This window comes from Homo sapiens, chromosome 4, assembly GCF_000001405.40.
Source record: "Homo sapiens chromosome 4, GRCh38.p14 Primary Assembly".
Taxonomy (NCBI): domain Eukaryota; kingdom Metazoa; phylum Chordata; class Mammalia; order Primates; family Hominidae; genus Homo; species Homo sapiens.
The window spans coordinates 109910848-109928982 of record NC_000004.12 but is presented as its reverse complement, the minus strand read 5'-3'; the positions used below and the strand labels follow the sequence as shown (position 1 = coordinate 109928982).

The window sequence follows — 18135 nt, the reverse complement described above, 5'->3', positions numbered from 1 at the left end:
TGCATTTGTAAACAAAAAATAAAATTCTAAGCCTCCCAACCAACTGAATAGACCCCTCCTCTCAGCCAAGGGCATTTCAAAGTCAACCTGAAAAACTAGTTCAGGCCATGATGGGAAGTGAGGGTGGGACATGCCTTATTACACCCTCCTCCCGTTGGAATTCAGGCACAGCTGACCAGCATTAACATTAAAAGAAAGATCTTAAGATTGACAAAACAGACTTTTTGTAGCAATAGGACAACCAAATTCCAGACTGACTCTAGTATAGCATCACACGACAAATAGCAGACCCTGAAAGAAATCAAAATATTTTATCCCAAAATATATTTCTTTGACATGTTTTGAAATGGTCCTGCAAAGCTGTCTCTCGTTGGGAAAATCTACATTCTGCAGGTAATCCCCATTCATTTCTAGGCCTTTCCCCCGACCCAGGAGAGAATTAACTAAGAGTCTGGCACCTTTTTAGATCTTATAAGAGCTCTGAAGCCTGCTGTCTGGAGGTTTCATCTGCATAATAAAACCTTGGTCTCCACAACCCCTTATCTTAACCCAGACATTCCTTTCTACTGATTCCAGGTCCTTAGATGATAAGTCTTTTAATTAATTGCCAATCAGAAAATCTTTGAAAAACTTTCTGTGACCTGGAACCTAACCCCACCTTACCCTACTCTTTGAGTTGTCCCTCGTTTCCTGATCAAACTAATGTATATCTTGCATGTATTGATTGATGTTTATTATTTTGCTTATAGATGTCTAATTGGTCCAACACCCTTTGTTGAAAAAGACTGGCCTTTCACCATTAAATTGCTTTAACATCTTTGTTAAATATCAAATGAGTGTACTTGTGTGAGTCCGTTTCTGAACTTTCTCTTCTGTTCTATTAATTTATGTGTCTATCCCTTATCCAATACTACAGCTCATTATAACTTTTAAAACTCATAATAATTCAGTTTTGCAGAACAGTGAACCGTTATAATGTTCCTATGCTATAGGTAATCCTTCACCTTAAGTAAGTTTAAACACCCCTCAGCTTTTCAACACAAATTATGCTCAATTTTATTTAAAGTCTACCATTACTAGACTAAAATGAATTTACCAACATTAAAGCATTAGAAAAGTTTTTCCAAATGTTTCACACACACACACACACACACACACACACACACACACACACACGGCAAAATTCAGAAATCACTATCCTGATCTGTCTACTGAGTTTTGCATCTACTTTTGGACATGTCTTTTTTTTTTTTTTTTTTGAGACGGTGTCTCTCTCTGTCGCCCAGGCTGGAGTGCAGTGGCACAATCTCCTCTCACTGCAAACTCTGCCTCCCGGGTTCGCGCTATTCTCCTGCCTCAGCCTCCCGAGTAGCTGGGACCACAAGCGCCCGCCACCACGCCCAACTAATTTTTTGTGTTTTTAGTAGAGACGGGGTTTCACTGTGTTAGCCAGGATGGTCTCAATCTCCTGACCTCGTGATCCGCCTGCCTCGGCCTCTCAAAGTGCTAGGATTACAGGCATGAGCCACTGCGCCCGGCCTGGACATGTCTTTGGTGGACATCTCCAGTTAGGAATGCCCCACAGTCCCAAAAGTCCCCCCGCATGTTAAAAATTGAGATTACATAACACCTTCTGATTAGTTTGCATTTACTGAAAAGCTTGAATTTGATAAAAAATCTAGTTTAAAGATCAACATGTTTTGATATTTGGTTTTTGACAGCTTTTTTAAACAAAAATAATTTTTCACAATTATGTCTACATCAGATGAAATAAATGCATCATTGGCTGTATTTACAAAATCACAAAATTTACTTTTTAATTACATCCCTCGATTATTCACAAATTTTGTTGAATTAGACCAGCAAATTTCTATCTTTCTAGATTTTAAACAGTAAATGAAAACTAACCAGAAGGTATTGCATTTTACGTTTTTAACAAGTGGATTTAAAAAGACAAAAACTCTGTATTTGGAAGATTTTTTTAAAATAGCTTAGAAAGCTGTTTGTAAATGTTTTAAAAGCGCAGACACAAGAATTTTTAACAGGTGACATATTGGCATTGATTCAACAATAAAATCACATAACAATGGAAACATCTCCAACATCTATCTTCAAACTGCTCTCTTCCTACACAAATTTCTTATAATTAGTGGTCACTTTCTCACTTGTTAAAACATCACCTATAACTTGGATAAAGTTTTGTTGTTTTAGTTACTTTTTGGGTAGCATACTACTGACATCTATCTGTAATCACAAAAATTTTTAAAAAGCCAAAAATTGTTAAACACTTGTCCTTTTCTTTTTCTTCTTTTAAAGACGGTGTCACGGCCGAGTGCAGTGGCTCACGCCAGTAATCCCAGCACTTTGGGAGTCCGAGGCAGGCGGACCACGAGGTCAGGAGATCGAGACCATCCTGGCTAACTCGGTGAAACCCCGTCTCTACTAAAAATACAAAAAAAAATTAGCCGGGTGTGGTGGCGGGCGCCTGTAGTCCCAGCTACTCGGGAGGCTGAGGCAGGAGAATGGCGTGAACCCGAGAGGTGGAGCTTGCAGTGAGACGAGATCGCGCCACTGCACTCCAGCTTGGGCGACAGAGAGAGACTCCGTCTCGGAAAAAAAAAAAAAAAAAAAAGACAGTGTCTCACTCTGTTGCCCAGGCTGGAGTGCAGTAGCACAATCCTAGCTCACTGCAGCCTTGAACTCCTGGGCTCAAGAGATCCTCCCGCCTCAGCCTTCCGAAAAGCCAAGACTACAGTCACATACCACCATGCCCAGCTAAGTTTTTAAGTTATTTGTAGAGATAGGGTCTCCTATGTTGCCTAGGCTGGTCACAAACTCTGGCCTCAAGCAATCCTCCTGCTTGTGACATTTGACGTTTTGTGACATGTGACATTTGACTGTTCTATTAAGTGCTTTGCTTCAAGATACTTTGTGGGAAGTATGTAAGACAAAGATTTTTATGATTACTCCCCATCCAGTACAAAGTATTATAAAGAGACTAGTCTTGTTTTATAGGAATAACTACATCAATGATGTTCCATAATGCTTGATGCAATTCCAGTTTCAACTTCTTTGCCACACGTCTTGCTGTGAAGGCTGTGGTGTTCTCTGTGATCTCACCAAGAATGCTTTTTGGTTGATGTCCTAGTAAATGCAGTGGGTGTACCACTGCTGAATACACTTATACCATTTTTTTCATAGAACATTTTCTGATATATAAAAAAGTCATTTCTGACTTCTGAGAACTTTCACTGAGAAAATTTCTTTTCTGTTGCATTTTTCCCTTACTCTCTCATAGAAAAGAATTACAGTTCTCTGAGCATTTCATTGTTGAGGTAATTATGATAGTGGCTAAGATTACTGGCATTGGAGACGGAGTACTCATGTTGACTCTTTATTGGCTCCAATACTATTGACAGTGTGGCCTTCAGCACATGACTTAACCTCTCCGTGTCTTGGTTTCTTCATCTGCAAAAATAAAATGGGAATAATAGTAATACTTACCTCAGAGATTGTTAAAAAGAATAAGTAAAGTAATTCATGTAAAGTGCTTAGAATCTTGTCTGACACATAGTGAGTTCCCAGTAAATTTTGGCTATTACTTTCTAGAAAACAACCATACGCTGTGATATATTAGAAACACCTTTACTTCCATTCAACAGTATAATTGCTTAGTACTTACTTCATCACATTTTCATTGATTCTTTCTGTACAGTTTTCAGCAGTATTTGTTTACAAAGGAACACATTTTAATTTGTTGTCATGTGGTTTTTCATGTATTATTTTAGCAATATTTTACCACAACAGGAAGCAGGAAGAACAAGTGTTTCACCAATAATATCAGGCTTTTCCTCTTTTGCCGTAATGTAAGAAACCTCAAGAGAGGCTTCTGACTTTTTTCATTAAGCTTAGTAAATAGAGTCTTCTTAACTATCATAACTTTGAACACAACTGTAAAAATTATAAAAAATCATTTTCAGATCCTGGATACTCATTTACAAATATCTTGCTTGTCCTGATGGCTTCATGTTACCACTAGCTAACATCTTCCCAGGTACACTTTACAGTTTTTGTGAGGTTCGTCGCTAATAATAACAATTGTAAATCCATTTTTCAGGCTGTCTTCTTGTTAATTTCTCTTTTTAACTTTTTTTGGTCAGATCTATGGAGATTTACGTTGCTTTCAGCTCTTACGTAGCCAACAAAAAGCTCATCCTAGGAATAAGAAAGGTGTCAAGACTGCCCTTTCCTCATTATTCTCTTAGGTTTGCAATATTAGTGTTGTCTGCAATCTTTAGTTTCTTTGTAGGAAGGCGTCTGAGCCACTTGTTGAATTTTGTAAGGGTTAGTTTTGATAAAACCAAATAAGAGGATCTGTAAGTCATCAGGTAAACTGCTGACTGAGCTCTGGAGCCCCATTGCCCTGTCAGGAATCCCTGTGTATGTGGATCAGTGATGTCTCCACTGTCAGCCCAAGCACCTAGCATCCAATAAATACTTGCTGACTTGATTTGAGTTAATTCATGGATGTAATTTATATAAAAGGAAATTTCATTTATTCAATCCTACTTTCAAAGTGCTTTCAACATAGAGAACTAGATATATTAAGGAAGTTTTCCTAAACCGACTTAAAACTATTAATTTTTTTTGGTAGAAAGAACTAATAAAATCATTACATTGATGGACTTTCAACAATCAGTCTTGGGAGGTGTCATGTGCATTGTAAATTTCACAGAATAAGAGTCTAGGGTCCTGAGCTATATTCTCATAGGACCTGAGAAGCTACTTCATCTGTCTAGATCTCAGCCTCTCATCCATAATAAGAAGCAGTTGGGCTAAATGATCTTGAAGGTCCTTCGTAATCTGACATTTATCAATTTAATTCATATTCTATATGCACTAAAAAATTCAATAACTTTCTTTTTTGTGGCACTTTGGCAAGGAGGCTTAAACTTGTAGTAAATTCCTACATAAATATTATTCACCTTAACCTCTACTTTCTGTGAATTGTTTCCTTCTTTGTTTCTTGGAACTTCAAATATGAAATCAATAAAGTGTCATAGGCCAGGCGTGGTGGCTCACACCTATAATCCCAGCACTTTGGGAGGCCAAGGTGGGTGGCTCTCTTGGGCCCAGGAGTTCAAGACCAGCCTGGGCAACATGGCGAAATCCTGTCTCTACTAAAAATACAGAAACTAGTTGGGTGTGCTGGCGTACACCTGTAGTTCCAGCTACTTAGGAAGCTGATGTGGAAGCATCACCTGAGCTCAGGAAGTCAAGGCTGCAGTGTGCTTTGATTGTGCCATTGCCCTCCAGCCTGGGTGACAAGAGTGAGACCCTGTCTCAAAAAATAATAAAAATAATTTTAAAATATGTCATCATGAGTCCTACTAAATGAAGTAAAACAATAACTTAAATAACTTCCCCCTAAGTGACACTAAACACTCAACTTTCTAAAGGAATTCTAAAAATTAATCTACTGATTAAATCTATAACAAATTTATTGGAGGTACAAAATTTGGTGTAAGTCTCATTTATACTGAATACAATTATCTTCTCTCTTTTTTAACCAGCTTTAAATTTAGTTTCTCAAATTGCAAGGATAAACACATAAATATTTGCCTATAGATACTATATCCTGAGTGTTCTAGACAAATAGACAAAAATGAGGTAAAATTAAGAAGTGTTGGCGTATTGCTATTTCCTGAGCCCAGTTTCACTGTTCTCATTAATCCTACACTGGTCATTAAGTTCTGGGCCTTACCTATATACATATATACCTATAGGTACAGCTATATAAATATACATAAAAAATATTTTATATAATTCTCTTGAAGACATATGTAACAAATAGCAAGATTAACTATTTAAAAAAAATAATTAATGGGGAGTTTTGTCACATGTTAGGATAATAAAAAGGATAATTTTTAAAAATCACAAAGAACCTGCTGGTTAAGATAGTTTTTAGGACTTAGCTCATCCCAGGAAACCGACTTCTCTAAGCATTGTTGAAAATTTGAAGAAACAGGTATTATAAAAATTATAGAAAATGTTTCTAATATGTCTCATTTATGGTTTTTGGTAGAGAGTAATAGCCAATATTTGCTGATAACTCACTGCGTCAGCTAAGATTCTAAGCATTTTACAAGAATTAATCCATTTAGTACTCATAGCAATCTAAGAGGTAGGTATTAACAGCTTATATCAGCTCCAGAATTAGACCCTATCAATTTCAAAAGCTGAGGCCTAACATGACATGCCAGACATAGGGCGTTGACCAAAGATGAGAGAACTTCTTCTTGCAAAGTAAGGCAACAAGCAAGCGTAACACTAGAACCATCTGCCCAAAACTGCTCCATTTTTGCCTGTGTGACAAGATCAACCCACTGTATAAAGAACCAACCAGAATTCACTCTGCTTAAAATGTATCCTTTGTTTGAAAATGGCACTGCCTCTCTTGGAAGTAATAAACCCAGTAACTTCATATGTGTCAACATAGCTCATGTTAAAGAGGATGTCATGCGCTATATATTTCTATTAGCTCCTGTCTCAGAAGACAACATGTCAGTATTGAAAGACAGTCACTTATCCTCTTGTAGGTAGGTGTCCATGATTGTGTGCTTTTTAATGGATTGAAATCCTAGATGAACATTTTTCTTCAAATACCTCATTTTTTCCCACTTACATGAAATCTTTGCCATGATTCATTAGAGTAACCAGGAGAGATAAAAGTTCCAGCAGGTTTTTCAAATTTGTCTTCCAAAAAATAATAAGCCTTTTGATCCACTTAGAGCATTGACCATTCTAAACAATGTTGCTTGAATCTAAAAGATATAGTGGGTAAATTAACATTAATGACAATAACCTTTGCAATTTCCTTGCACACCAAGGAGAAGTTAATTTCCTTTGTGTTGAAAATCTTCCAGTAAACAGAATAATTATGCACTTCAGAGGAAGGGAGAAAAACACCAGAAGACCCTTGGTAGCTTCAACCCTTCAGCATGTTTTTAAACCTCGTAAGGGAAGGCCTGGGCTGGAAGAGCAGAGGATTGGTGTCAACCGGCATGTATTATGACAATGTTCAGTTTGACTAATCTGTTTTTGACCTGTTTATACAAGAATGGTGTGTGTGAAAAAGAAAGATCCTCCTTCAAGCTTTTAAAATTTTAACCAGAAAAGTGTTGGAGTGAATGAAATAAAACACTATTTCTCAACTGATACACCATGTGCTGAAGAACAAGGCAGCTGCCGTGATGCTGTTGTGACTATCTGTATCCTAGCAACCACCTACCCACAGAAAGAACCACCTCATGGATGTAATTCCCTTACTGCACACAAAGCTGGTCCATAGCACCCTGGGAAGTTAGTCTGAATGGAGGAAGGAGGCAGTGCTTTTCTCCAAAAGGACTCTTACATCACTGGGAAGAAGCTTTGCAAATAAATTAGTGCCTACCATGAATCACTGTCACAGCAGTTGGCTGGCTCTCAAATACCTTCACACACACACACAAATTCCAGTGTACTGAATGTCCTGGGAAATACTTGGGAAACCCAGACAGTGAGAGGCATTAGTATGTTTGGTCAACTTGGGAGAATCAGAAAATCAAGTCAGAATAAAAAAAAAAACAGATGCTCACACCAATTCAGATTCCAGACTTAGCAAGGAGGTCAACAGGTGATGAGAGTAGAAGTTTCTGCCTTGTATTTGGCTAAAACAACTGAAGTTTCTATACATTTGCTAATTCCCAGAATTGAGAAGAAAGCTCTGGAAGATGCTCTTAAGAAATAGAACATCTCCTAAAGAAAGACATATTGACAAGCATTATTCCACAATTGCCTTTGGAAGTTATTAACTTTGGCCATATAAAACAAGAGAGTAAAACATTTTCAGAGATAGTAAGATCTTTCAAGAAGTGTAAAGATCCCTTCTGTTCAGTGAAATTTTTTCTTCGTCTACACCTGGCAATAATAGTATTCATCCTTCCAGACCTGACTCTCAGTCATCTTGTCATGAGCCCCAGCAAACAGGACATCTGGGAAGGGCCTGGGATGGCCGTGTGCACAACCACCTCAGTGGTAATAAAGAATCTCTACAAAGTGAATCTAGTTCTTAGTTCACCTAATATCTAGGCAATACTTCCTTCATGGTGAACAATATTAGCATTCTGGAGGAAAGCGCTGGCCTGTAGGCAAGAAGTAAATAGACAATGGGGACAATTACATTCCAATGGTCAGGATCTCTGTAGTTGCTGTTGTTGTTTCTGGTTCTTTCTTAAAGTTAATTCTAATTCTCACATGAGAAACTATAACATAATAAGACTAATATTTTGTTTACTAGCTCTAGGATGGCCCAAATTTGGAGTAATAATTAAACTAAGCACTAAACTGCTTCCTGGAATTTAAAATTTCTTGAAAAAGATTTAGGAATCCTTTAAAAGAACGTGATTTCTTTCTTTAAAACTGACCTAGACCTTTCTGAGAGATTCCAGGGCCTGCCTCTCTTCTCCTCGCCCCATCAAGTGCTCTCCCCTGTTCTCCTCGACCTCTGGCCACACCAGTGAGATAAAGTGATTTGTTTCTTAAAAACTGACTATTTTGAAAACGCTCTCCAATGCAGTCATTTCCAGCTATTGAGGATAGTTATTGAGTCTTTAATTGTTTTGTTTGCAATAAGTTTATAAAAACTACTTCTGTACAATAATTGCTAAAATAGCTTAGATCAGGCAATTTACATTGGAAAGTTGCTAGGTTCTCCGAGTTTCCTCTATTGTAATCAAAGTGACAAAAAGTTTAAGGACTTCGAACAGATTTTAGAAGACTTATTTTCCAGGTAAGAAATCTTTGTTACCTTTCATCTGAGGTTCAATGTTTGACTTTTTAACTCTGTATGGATTAAAAAACAACTTATAAATTCATCTATATGAATTTGTTAAATGAAACCTATGCATCAACGATAAAAATAAAAGACATTGTACTGATTCACAAGCCAAACTATTTGATGCTCCCAATAGCAGACCACTGACTGACTAGGGAATATTCTGAGCATACTTCTCTATTTACAGATGTGTATCGTTTACACTTGACCTGTCCAGTCAGTAACTACTAAATAAGGGCACATTTCTTTTTTATAGTGAAATTTTTTGGACCATGCCACCACAAGCAAATTGCTGGAAATTAGCCTTCTTTAAAATCTTTCCATCCTAGACCTTTCTGAGAGATTCCGGGGCCTACCTCTCTCATCCTTACCCCATCAAGAGCTCTCCTCTGATCTCCTTGATCTCTGGCCACACCAATGTGAGGCCACAGTGCTCCTGGAAGTAGTTCCCCCCTACCTGTCACTCATGTACCATTTCACCTGAGCACAAGTGAGATCAATGTCTAACTTTTACTGAAGTCCTCTTTAAGAATTGTGGAGAGGGGAGGAGGACAACCTATAGTATAACTCACAATCACTGGCCATGACCAGACCTGTTAAAGTCTCTTTTCAAGTCAGTGCCCTGCCTTACTTATGACTTATGTCCATCAAGCCAAAGTAAAGGCACTCCCCAGCCCCAAAGTGCAGTAGTCCCTTCCCAGACTCAGAATACAGGACAGAGAGAGATACAGACAGAGGGAGAGAGAGATGAGAGAGAGAGAGAGATGAGAGAGAGAGAGAGAGAGAGAGAGAGAGAGAGAGAGAGAGAGAGAGAGAGAGACAGAGAAGCATGCATTCCTAATACCTGGGACTGCCTACAAGAATCTTCACTTCTGTCTCAAAATTAACATCTCCCATTGTAGAAGGAAAAGAAAAATGATTACTTTGAAATCAGGAGCCAGAAATTCTCAAAGGAGTACACAACTGTTTTTGTTTAGCAAAACACATCAGCTCACTATTTAATAGTTTTTGAAGTTATTTTCATTTAAAAAGGCAAGTCTCGGATATGATCAGAAAAGCAAAATTGGAGGAAGAAGAAATCTAAAATGTTCTGCAGAAGGATATGGATGGTCTGAAGTAGATTAAGGAGGCCCAGGAAAGCGGCCAAGGTGCAGGTCAGTATCACTGTGGGAGAAAGAGGGTTTCGCTCATGTGGTGGAAGACTAAGGCCCAAGAAAAAGAGATGTCTGGCAAGTCCCTTCCACAGATGACCTTGTGTCACTTTTAGGAACAGGAATGAAAAATGTTTTACTTTGTTGTTGGAAGCGCTGGGATGTAAGCAGCCCCTGCCCTTGCCCCAACCCTCCCAACAGCAAACCTTCAGGTAAAGTCTGTCCCCTCACAGCTCATAACAATTGTTTCCTCGTTCTTTCAAGAAGTAAGTGAGACAGGGTGGTGGCTGGTGTGAGGTGGTGAAGTATGGGAAAGGGACAGTACATGAGGGCAGTGAGACACACAGTAGATGAATCATTCAGTAGGAGGCCCAGAAGGGACACATAGCCTTGCCTTCCTCATCACAGCCCCCACCTCCAGCATCTTCCAAGACAGAGGAGAGAGACATTGGGTTTCCTGGAACATATGATAGAGGTGCAGGTCACTTTAATTTAAATAGATGCTGAGCCCAGCAAGCCACAGGACTTGGGCATTTCTCAAACTCCAGGTCCCCCTCAGGAACATCATCTGGCCTTCCACTCCTTCCGGAAGAATCTCAGCACAACCACACGCATTTCTGTTTCTACCATTACACACTCTGAGAAAAGTCATTCGCTATGAATAACCCACCTTTACTTGAAATTTAAAAAAAAAAAAAAAACCACACCTAGCAATCAAGAGAAAGGAACAGAGCTTATAGTGAAGAAAAGGTAAACGTTTATTCTACCATTTCACTTATTTTCTAAAACTATCTTCCAAGGAGGGTGTATATCACATAGAGGCTATGTAAGATGGTTTGCTATTGTGTAGAAAGAAAATATTAGATACGTTATTTGTTGTGTAATGTTCATTACATACACATGTTCATGTGTACAGTGTACATATTACATGTATGTAATTGATAAGTAAATGTGTTTATTAGAAGCATATGCTTACATTTTAATTATTTTACTGATGGAACGGAGTCTGGAGAGTACTGATTTAATAAACCAACTGAGGCCAGTCGTGGTGGCTCATGCCTGTAATCCCAGCACTTTGGGAGGCTGAGGTGGGCTGATCACTTGAGGTCAGGAGTTCGAGACCAGCCTGGCCAACATGATGAAACCCCATCTCTACTAAAAATACAAAAATTAGCAGGTGTGGTGGCATATGCCTGTAATCCCAACTACTCAGGAGGCTGAGACAGGAGAATTGCTTGAACCTGGGAGGCGGAGGTTGCAGTGAGCCAAGATCATGCCACTGTACTCCAGCCTGGGCGACAGAGCAAAACCTGTCTCAAAAAATAAAAATAAAAATAAAAAACCAACTGATCACATGGGATCAATAGAAGCCCAAACCTCACCATCACACAATATCCCCTTGTAACAAACCTCCACATGTACACCTGAATGTAAAGTAAAAATTGAAATTAAAAAAAAAAGACAAAAACTAAAAGCTAAAAAACCTCCAACCAACCATACTACCCAAGGAATAATTTGAAATGGATTTTCATAAAGGCAGATTTGTAAATTATAAAGTAAGGTTTTTAATTTGCTTGAGCCAAATTATTAGTCTGTTTACTTTTGATAGAAACAATCAATTACTTGCTCTACCATGAACACAAGCAACTTCTAAATTGAATGTCAAATATTTTGACAAGCTCAAATTAGCCCCAAAATGTAAATTAACTGAGAAAACTAATTTACCATTTTTATATGCTTTTAATAGCTTTAAAAATCCACAAGGGAAGGGTTCCACACATGGGCAAAAATATGCAAAAAACTGAAATAATCGCTATCACTTTCAAGTGGCTTGTTTTTGCTGCTGTTAAAATAAGATTATTACCGGTAAGAAACCCGACGAACAGAGTTAATTTGCAATGAATGAAATTTTTTATCAGTTGGTATAAGAAAAAGACAAACACCAGAGCCACAGTTTCACAAAGGTACTTACTCAAATCAAGTTGACATGTTCTTGTATTTTTAATAAACATTTCTTCTGATTACAAAAATATGAGTTATGTATTTTTAAATTATTTTGACTATAATTTTTAATGTTGTAGAACTATTATTGGGTTTTTCACTATGGCATTTTGTCATGTATAAAAAATGTTCGATGATTATAGGCGAAACCAAGCCACATTTAGAAAATACCATTACATTCATAAAAATAATTTTTAAAACAACAAAACATTAATAGAATCTCGGGCTTATCGAGTGTTTATTGTATGCCAAGCTCTGTTTTGTGCACTTTACATATATTAACTCAGTGGTTCTAACCCAGGCTGTTGGTTAGAATCACCACATTAAAAAAAAATAAGGCCTAGATTCCACTCCCAGAAGAGACTCTGATCCAGACTGCCCGGGGTGGCCACCCAGACATTAGTGATTCTAATGCACAGCCAGCACTGAAAATGAATACATTAACGCAATACTGACAAGAGTCCTCGGAAGAGGGTACAATTATCTTCATTTTAGGGTAAGGAAAATGAGACAAACAGTTCACAAGCAGCAGAAATGGGATTTGAATCCAGGCAAGAAATCTGTCTCCAAAATTTATGCTTCTTTACCACTAAGCTCAATGACCAAACACCACTGAATATTTGGAGGTTAGTTTCACTGCTGTTAGAAAAAAAGAAAAAAAATCGCATAACCCTGGCTGAAAAAACAGACAAGCTTCTGGTCTCAGAATTACTCTGGTTTGCACATGACTGGGATGCTGACCACGCCTTAGCCGGTACTGAAATCACTGATTTCACTGTTTACTACTAAAAGTGATAACTTAGTGCCACCCCAGGATCCCTCCCGCAGCTGGGAGGCTGTACTTCTTCCTTACCCTTTATTACCAAAAAAGTTCATATAAATAATGCAGGTACAGAAGCCAAACAGGAACAATTTCTTTTTCAACTGTTATTTGTCCTCCAGGGTAAATAGACTTGAAGGTTCAGAAACCACTTGCCAGCAGTTTTCTTTCCTGCTGTCCTCACCTGCTGTAGCTCAAGTAGACGCTAACAGAATACTCAGTTAAAAGGAGGGAGAGGGAGGGGAATAGAAAGAAACCTAATTGTGTTGCTATCACTTGGTTTATCCGGCTAGCAGTCACATGAGTAACAATCTTGCATAAGTTTACCTGAATACTGTTAGACCATAAAGCATTCTTCCTGCTGGGTCAGGTGGCTGCAGAGGTGATCTGTCTCAATGCCAAGGGCAAGAAATAAGGCAAGTAGAATTTAAATGAGGGAAAAATAGATGATGGCACCATATCTATTTAGAGAGGAGAAAGAAATACTATCCTCTGAAATGCACACAGTGACTGACAAAGGGTGACCCAGGCAGTTATCAGCTAACATGAGACCAGGAGCGTAAAGTACGGGATTTAAACCAGTGACTTGCAAGAAATGAGGTAGCAGAGAGGCAGGGAATCCCAAAGTGCCATCCACACATTCCACACTCCATGGATCTGTGCCGTGTCACTGCACTGTTCAAATACGGCATCTCATCGTATGACTTGATCAGAGATTTAGCCAAGACGTGGAGCCCAGGAGGACATTTATTGAGCATACTCTGCTAAGCACCATGCTTTGGTACATGCTAGGTTATCTCATGTGATTCCCCACAAAAAAATCCTAAAAGCAGTGGGCGAGGGTATTATTTCCCAGAGATACTCTAAAGTAACTCAGCTATTAAGTTGGTAGCATGGATATGAAATGAGGCTTGTTTGTTTCTAAAACCTGTGGTTCCTTCCACTCTGTGACACAGTCTCCCCAACTTATTGTTTCTATCCTGGGTTTCATGTTTATTGGGTACAACCTACCTCAATGAAGGCACTTCTGAGCCACCAGAGGTGGCAAGGAAAACAAGGCATAGACTTGCTTGCCAGCAGGAATCAGACTATTCTGAGATCCTAGAGCCATCCATAAAAGCTCATTTTTGTAATTTCTTGGGTTCTGCTTCAGCAACCTGGGTTCTTCTTTCCTAGCTTCTGGCTGCCTGATAGATCGGCCCAACCATCACCCCTCACATCCCATGCAAATGACAGTGCCCAACTCTAGATATTTGCCAACTACTCCACGGAAAATTCTCCCACCCCAAAGAGAGTCCAGTCCATTTGACATAACTGTATACAGAAGTTTTACTTCTGTCTCCAACAGCTGAGTCTGAGGTTCATGGGGCCATTTTTGTCATTTGTCACCCTCTTTTTGTTGCTGTTCTCTAGGACTATGTCATTAGCAGATCAGAGAAAGACGCCTCATTCATACACAAGAATTTGCTGAGTACACACTGTGGAAGCAGGAATGTCCTAGGTGCTGGGAACATAGAGATCACTAGGATTAAGTCTTTATTTCAAATACCCTAGAGTTCTGCTCACCTGTTACAAGGAGTGCTACCTGAGAACAGAGTCCAGAGATTCTGAGCAAAAGCACCTGATTTCCTCATCGGGAACTTCCTTAATGGGAGAGCCAGGACAGCAGCCTAGCTTTGGCAGTTTGGCTCCATTCTGCTCTCTTTATTCAAACTATTGCCTATTGTGTACTGTCTTCCATAGGTGTCTCTTCTGGAAACTGTACTGTGTTTTCCCCCTCAATCTACCTCTTTTTAAAAGCCAGACGCCATCTCAAAAGGGCAAGCTGATAAAAATGGAATGTCGGGGCAGCTATAACCTCTCATCAACAAAGGCGGCTGCCGTGTCTAAGCAGCAGGTTGGAGGCTCACCCAAGGATTAAATAAATGAATTAACAGTTAGAGAGAGAATGTTTTTCAGGCAATATCCTTTGGCAGGATTGTAATTCGCATTCAGTCAAGCTCCCATTTCCCCTTGGCAAAAAATTCATTTAATATGAGAGGACAGTGTGGCTTATTTACCCATTATCATATTTGGCAGTTCTTAAAGTTGCAATGCACCTGTTACTAAAACTCCGGAGTTGTGTCAGAGCCTCAGAAACAGTAAGAGTGGGGAGAAAGTGAAGGAGGTTGAAATTGAAATTTAGGTTAATTTTCACAACTACCTTTGTTCACAGTTCCCTTTCCATTTTTCACTAATTTTTAGAACTTCTGAATTCTTACAAGTTATCAGAAGGAAGGATTTTTTTCTTTGTGGCTTAAGAGTTTCAAACAGACAAACAAAAAATCAACCATCTGTTTCCCTAATTTCCAAGCAATTAGCCAGGTGTTAATTACTCCTCTTGTCAGAGTAAAAGCTGAAGCTTCCATGAAATGTTCTGCTAGTTTAAAATGAGGCATATTCATTCACTTATACACAGAAGTACAGTTTGAGAGTTATGAAGTTTTATAGTTGGTAGCAGATTAGCTCTAATGGCCAGTAAGAAAATAAACATGCATCAGAAAACAAAAATTAAGCAACTATACATACCCAAAGACAAACTTTGTTAAATGCCCAAGTATACCAGATTGAACCAACAGGGATGTGGGGGCAGTTTCCCGGAGACCTGGAGCACCTTTTCATTGGAGTACTTACCCACACAAGTAGAATTCCCATTTCCTGCGAGAGTACCTTCAGGACAGCTCCAGTGCTGCGGTGCTGAGAGACTAACAAAACTAAATTTTGAAACTACTGGCAACAGAATGATAAGAGTGAGCAGCATAATCTTGATGAGTTTGAACTTTCAAAAGAAAACAGCTTGATTTTGCTGGAGCATGGCCCGGGCAAGGTGAGTATGATTGACCCCAGATGCGGCTGCCTGAGCGGAGGCCTCAGCCCTGGGGCATCTTTTACTCTCCTGTTGTGCTGTTGTCCTCCAAGCTCTTTCTTCAACTGAGAGACCTTCTGAATGCAGCCTGCCAAGGGAAGCCACAGGAAAGATTTCTTTATCTATGTTTCTTTGGAAGCCAGTAAGAAATACCTGACACCCTTATGACAAATTTCACAGAGTTTAACAGCCCTGCTCTGGCTGACTTCACTGTGACAGAGCAAGGCAAAGGCTTAGAGAGGAAAAAGAAAGGAAGAACTGATGGAAAGTTCCAGCTACAACCCTTGGATTGGGGCTGAAAGAAGAAATATGGAGATACGATTCCTCTCCCAACAGTTTCTCTTTTTGAAAAGTGGAATGACTCAGCTTTGCTTTTTAAAGCTCTTCAGGCTCCACCTCCTTTCCTTTAGTGACACTTGAGTGAGCCTCTGTTTGCAAATGCGAATGTGGGCAATTCCTCCACACAGGAAAGCAGGGATGACTGCCAAAGAGGAGATAACTCGCTACTCACCATAAATATCCTGGGCAGAACTGGGAGAGAGGAGTTGGGGGCTGTGGAGGTGCTCATGGTGAATGGCGGGAACTGCTAAATATTGGCTATGTTTTAATGTCTGGAAGGATGGAGACAAAATTAAACCATGCAGTATAAATCAATAATAAGCAGCACTGTTGATAGTTTGGATTGATAATAATTGATCATTCACATGAGCAATAGTAAAGATAGTTCACCTTCAGCCCATTATTTGAACGAAATGTCAATACCAGTGCACATTCCAGGAGCTTTATCTTATTTTTCTCTTTCTCCTGTATAGTTTATAGCGGAATTTGAAAGATTATTCTTTCCAAATCAAAGGGAAATCCCTGAGGCCAAATGAAGAGATACAGTATGGACAGACACCTTTTCTTTCAGCATGAGCATGATAAAACATCACGAGGGGCCAGGAGTGCAGAGAAAGGAGTGGATTGTTATTATAGGGACATTGGAAAAAATAAGCTAACAGTGCAAAGCTGGGAAGCACTGGAAATCCAGCACAGAGGAATGCTTTTCCTTCTAAGATAATTTAGGCTTTTTTTTTTTCACATCTCTGTGATAGAAAATAAGAACTGGACGTATCTGTTAGCTGTCTCCTCAACCACTTTCTACTTGGAGCAACAGTGGTTATTTCTTCAGGAGTACAACTAGGGCCCAAAAATACCCAGAAGGCAAACAACTTATAGCAGATTTGATGCACGATGGAAATTTCTGTCAGTTTACTCCATCCTGGAAAATGGACTTTCATTTAAGTTACCCTGAGGTAGTGTTCCAAGTGCTGGTCAAAAATGTACGTAAAAGCAATAGTCACAAAAACAACTGTCACACTAGTGAACACCCCATTACAGAGGAGAACAGACTAACTCTAAGCCTTTTACTCATACTTAATTATGTCCTGATTATTCTCCAAAGACTGGATCACTTTCCTGAAACAGCTTAAGTCAGGATTTCTCCTATTTCAGCCAGCCTCTGCCAGGCAGCTCTGAACCCTTACAGGAGAAACAGACCCTGGGGAAGGGGGAAAGAGAAGTCCTTTAGGTGGTTATGCGGAATATTCCATTGCTTTCTGGACTGAGTCAGACTCAAGACTCATAATGAGCATCCTACAAATAACCTGCACTGACTCTTCGAGTTACTAACTTTATTAATAAGCTTCCCTTTCAGCACAATACATTGCCAGCATCCCAGATGACAGCAATGGAAGGGGCTTAGAGGACAATCAAGCATCACGCTGTGTCAGTGGAGTGGAGTGGAGAGAATGATATGAAGACAAACATGAAATGATCCACAGCTCTGTTCTGTTTGGATTTGGAATCTCTCATATTATTTTTGGTTGGAAAAAGGTTTGCTTTCTTAATTACATGTCACCTGGGCTAATGTTGTCATTAATGTTGAGTACAAGCTCCCTAGGAGATGACGGAGTCAACAGAGGTATAGCAGATGCTATGGCTGATGACTGATGATGAAAATCAATCGCAGCTAATTCATCATCTACAGTTGCCCAGATAGCAAAATCATAGGACAGAGCTACCCAACTGGGAAGGATTTACAGAGATATTTAATAAGTTTATATTCCAGCCGGGCGTGGTGGCTCATGCCTGTAATCCCAGCACTTTGGGAGGCCAAGGTGGGCAGATCACACTTCAGGAGATCTAGACCATCCTGGCTAACACGGTGAAACCCCATCTCTACTAAAAATACAAAAAGTTAGCCAGGCGTGGTGGCACATGCCTATAGTCCCAGCTACTCATGAGGCTGAGGCAGGAGAATTGCTTGAACCCAGGAGGCGGAGGTTGCAGTGAGCCGATAACACGCCACTGCACTCCAGCCTGGGTGACAGAGCAAGACTCT

At 39.4% G+C, this 18135-nt stretch overlaps 1 protein-coding gene across 4 annotated transcripts in view; it reads right to left on the bottom strand.

Moving 5' to 3' along the window:
- EGF (epidermal growth factor) overlaps nucleotides 1–16100 on the bottom strand; it is a 100884-nt gene extending 84784 nt beyond the window's left edge. For all 4 annotated transcript variants that reach the window (NM_001963.6, NM_001178130.3, NM_001178131.3 and 1 more), the window contains exon 1: nucleotides 15521–16100. In NM_001963.6, coding sequence (NP_001954.2) covers nucleotides 15521–15647 — 127 coding nt within the window. In that variant the 5' untranslated portion in view covers nucleotides 15648–16100. The remainder of the gene's footprint in view (nucleotides 1–15520) is intronic.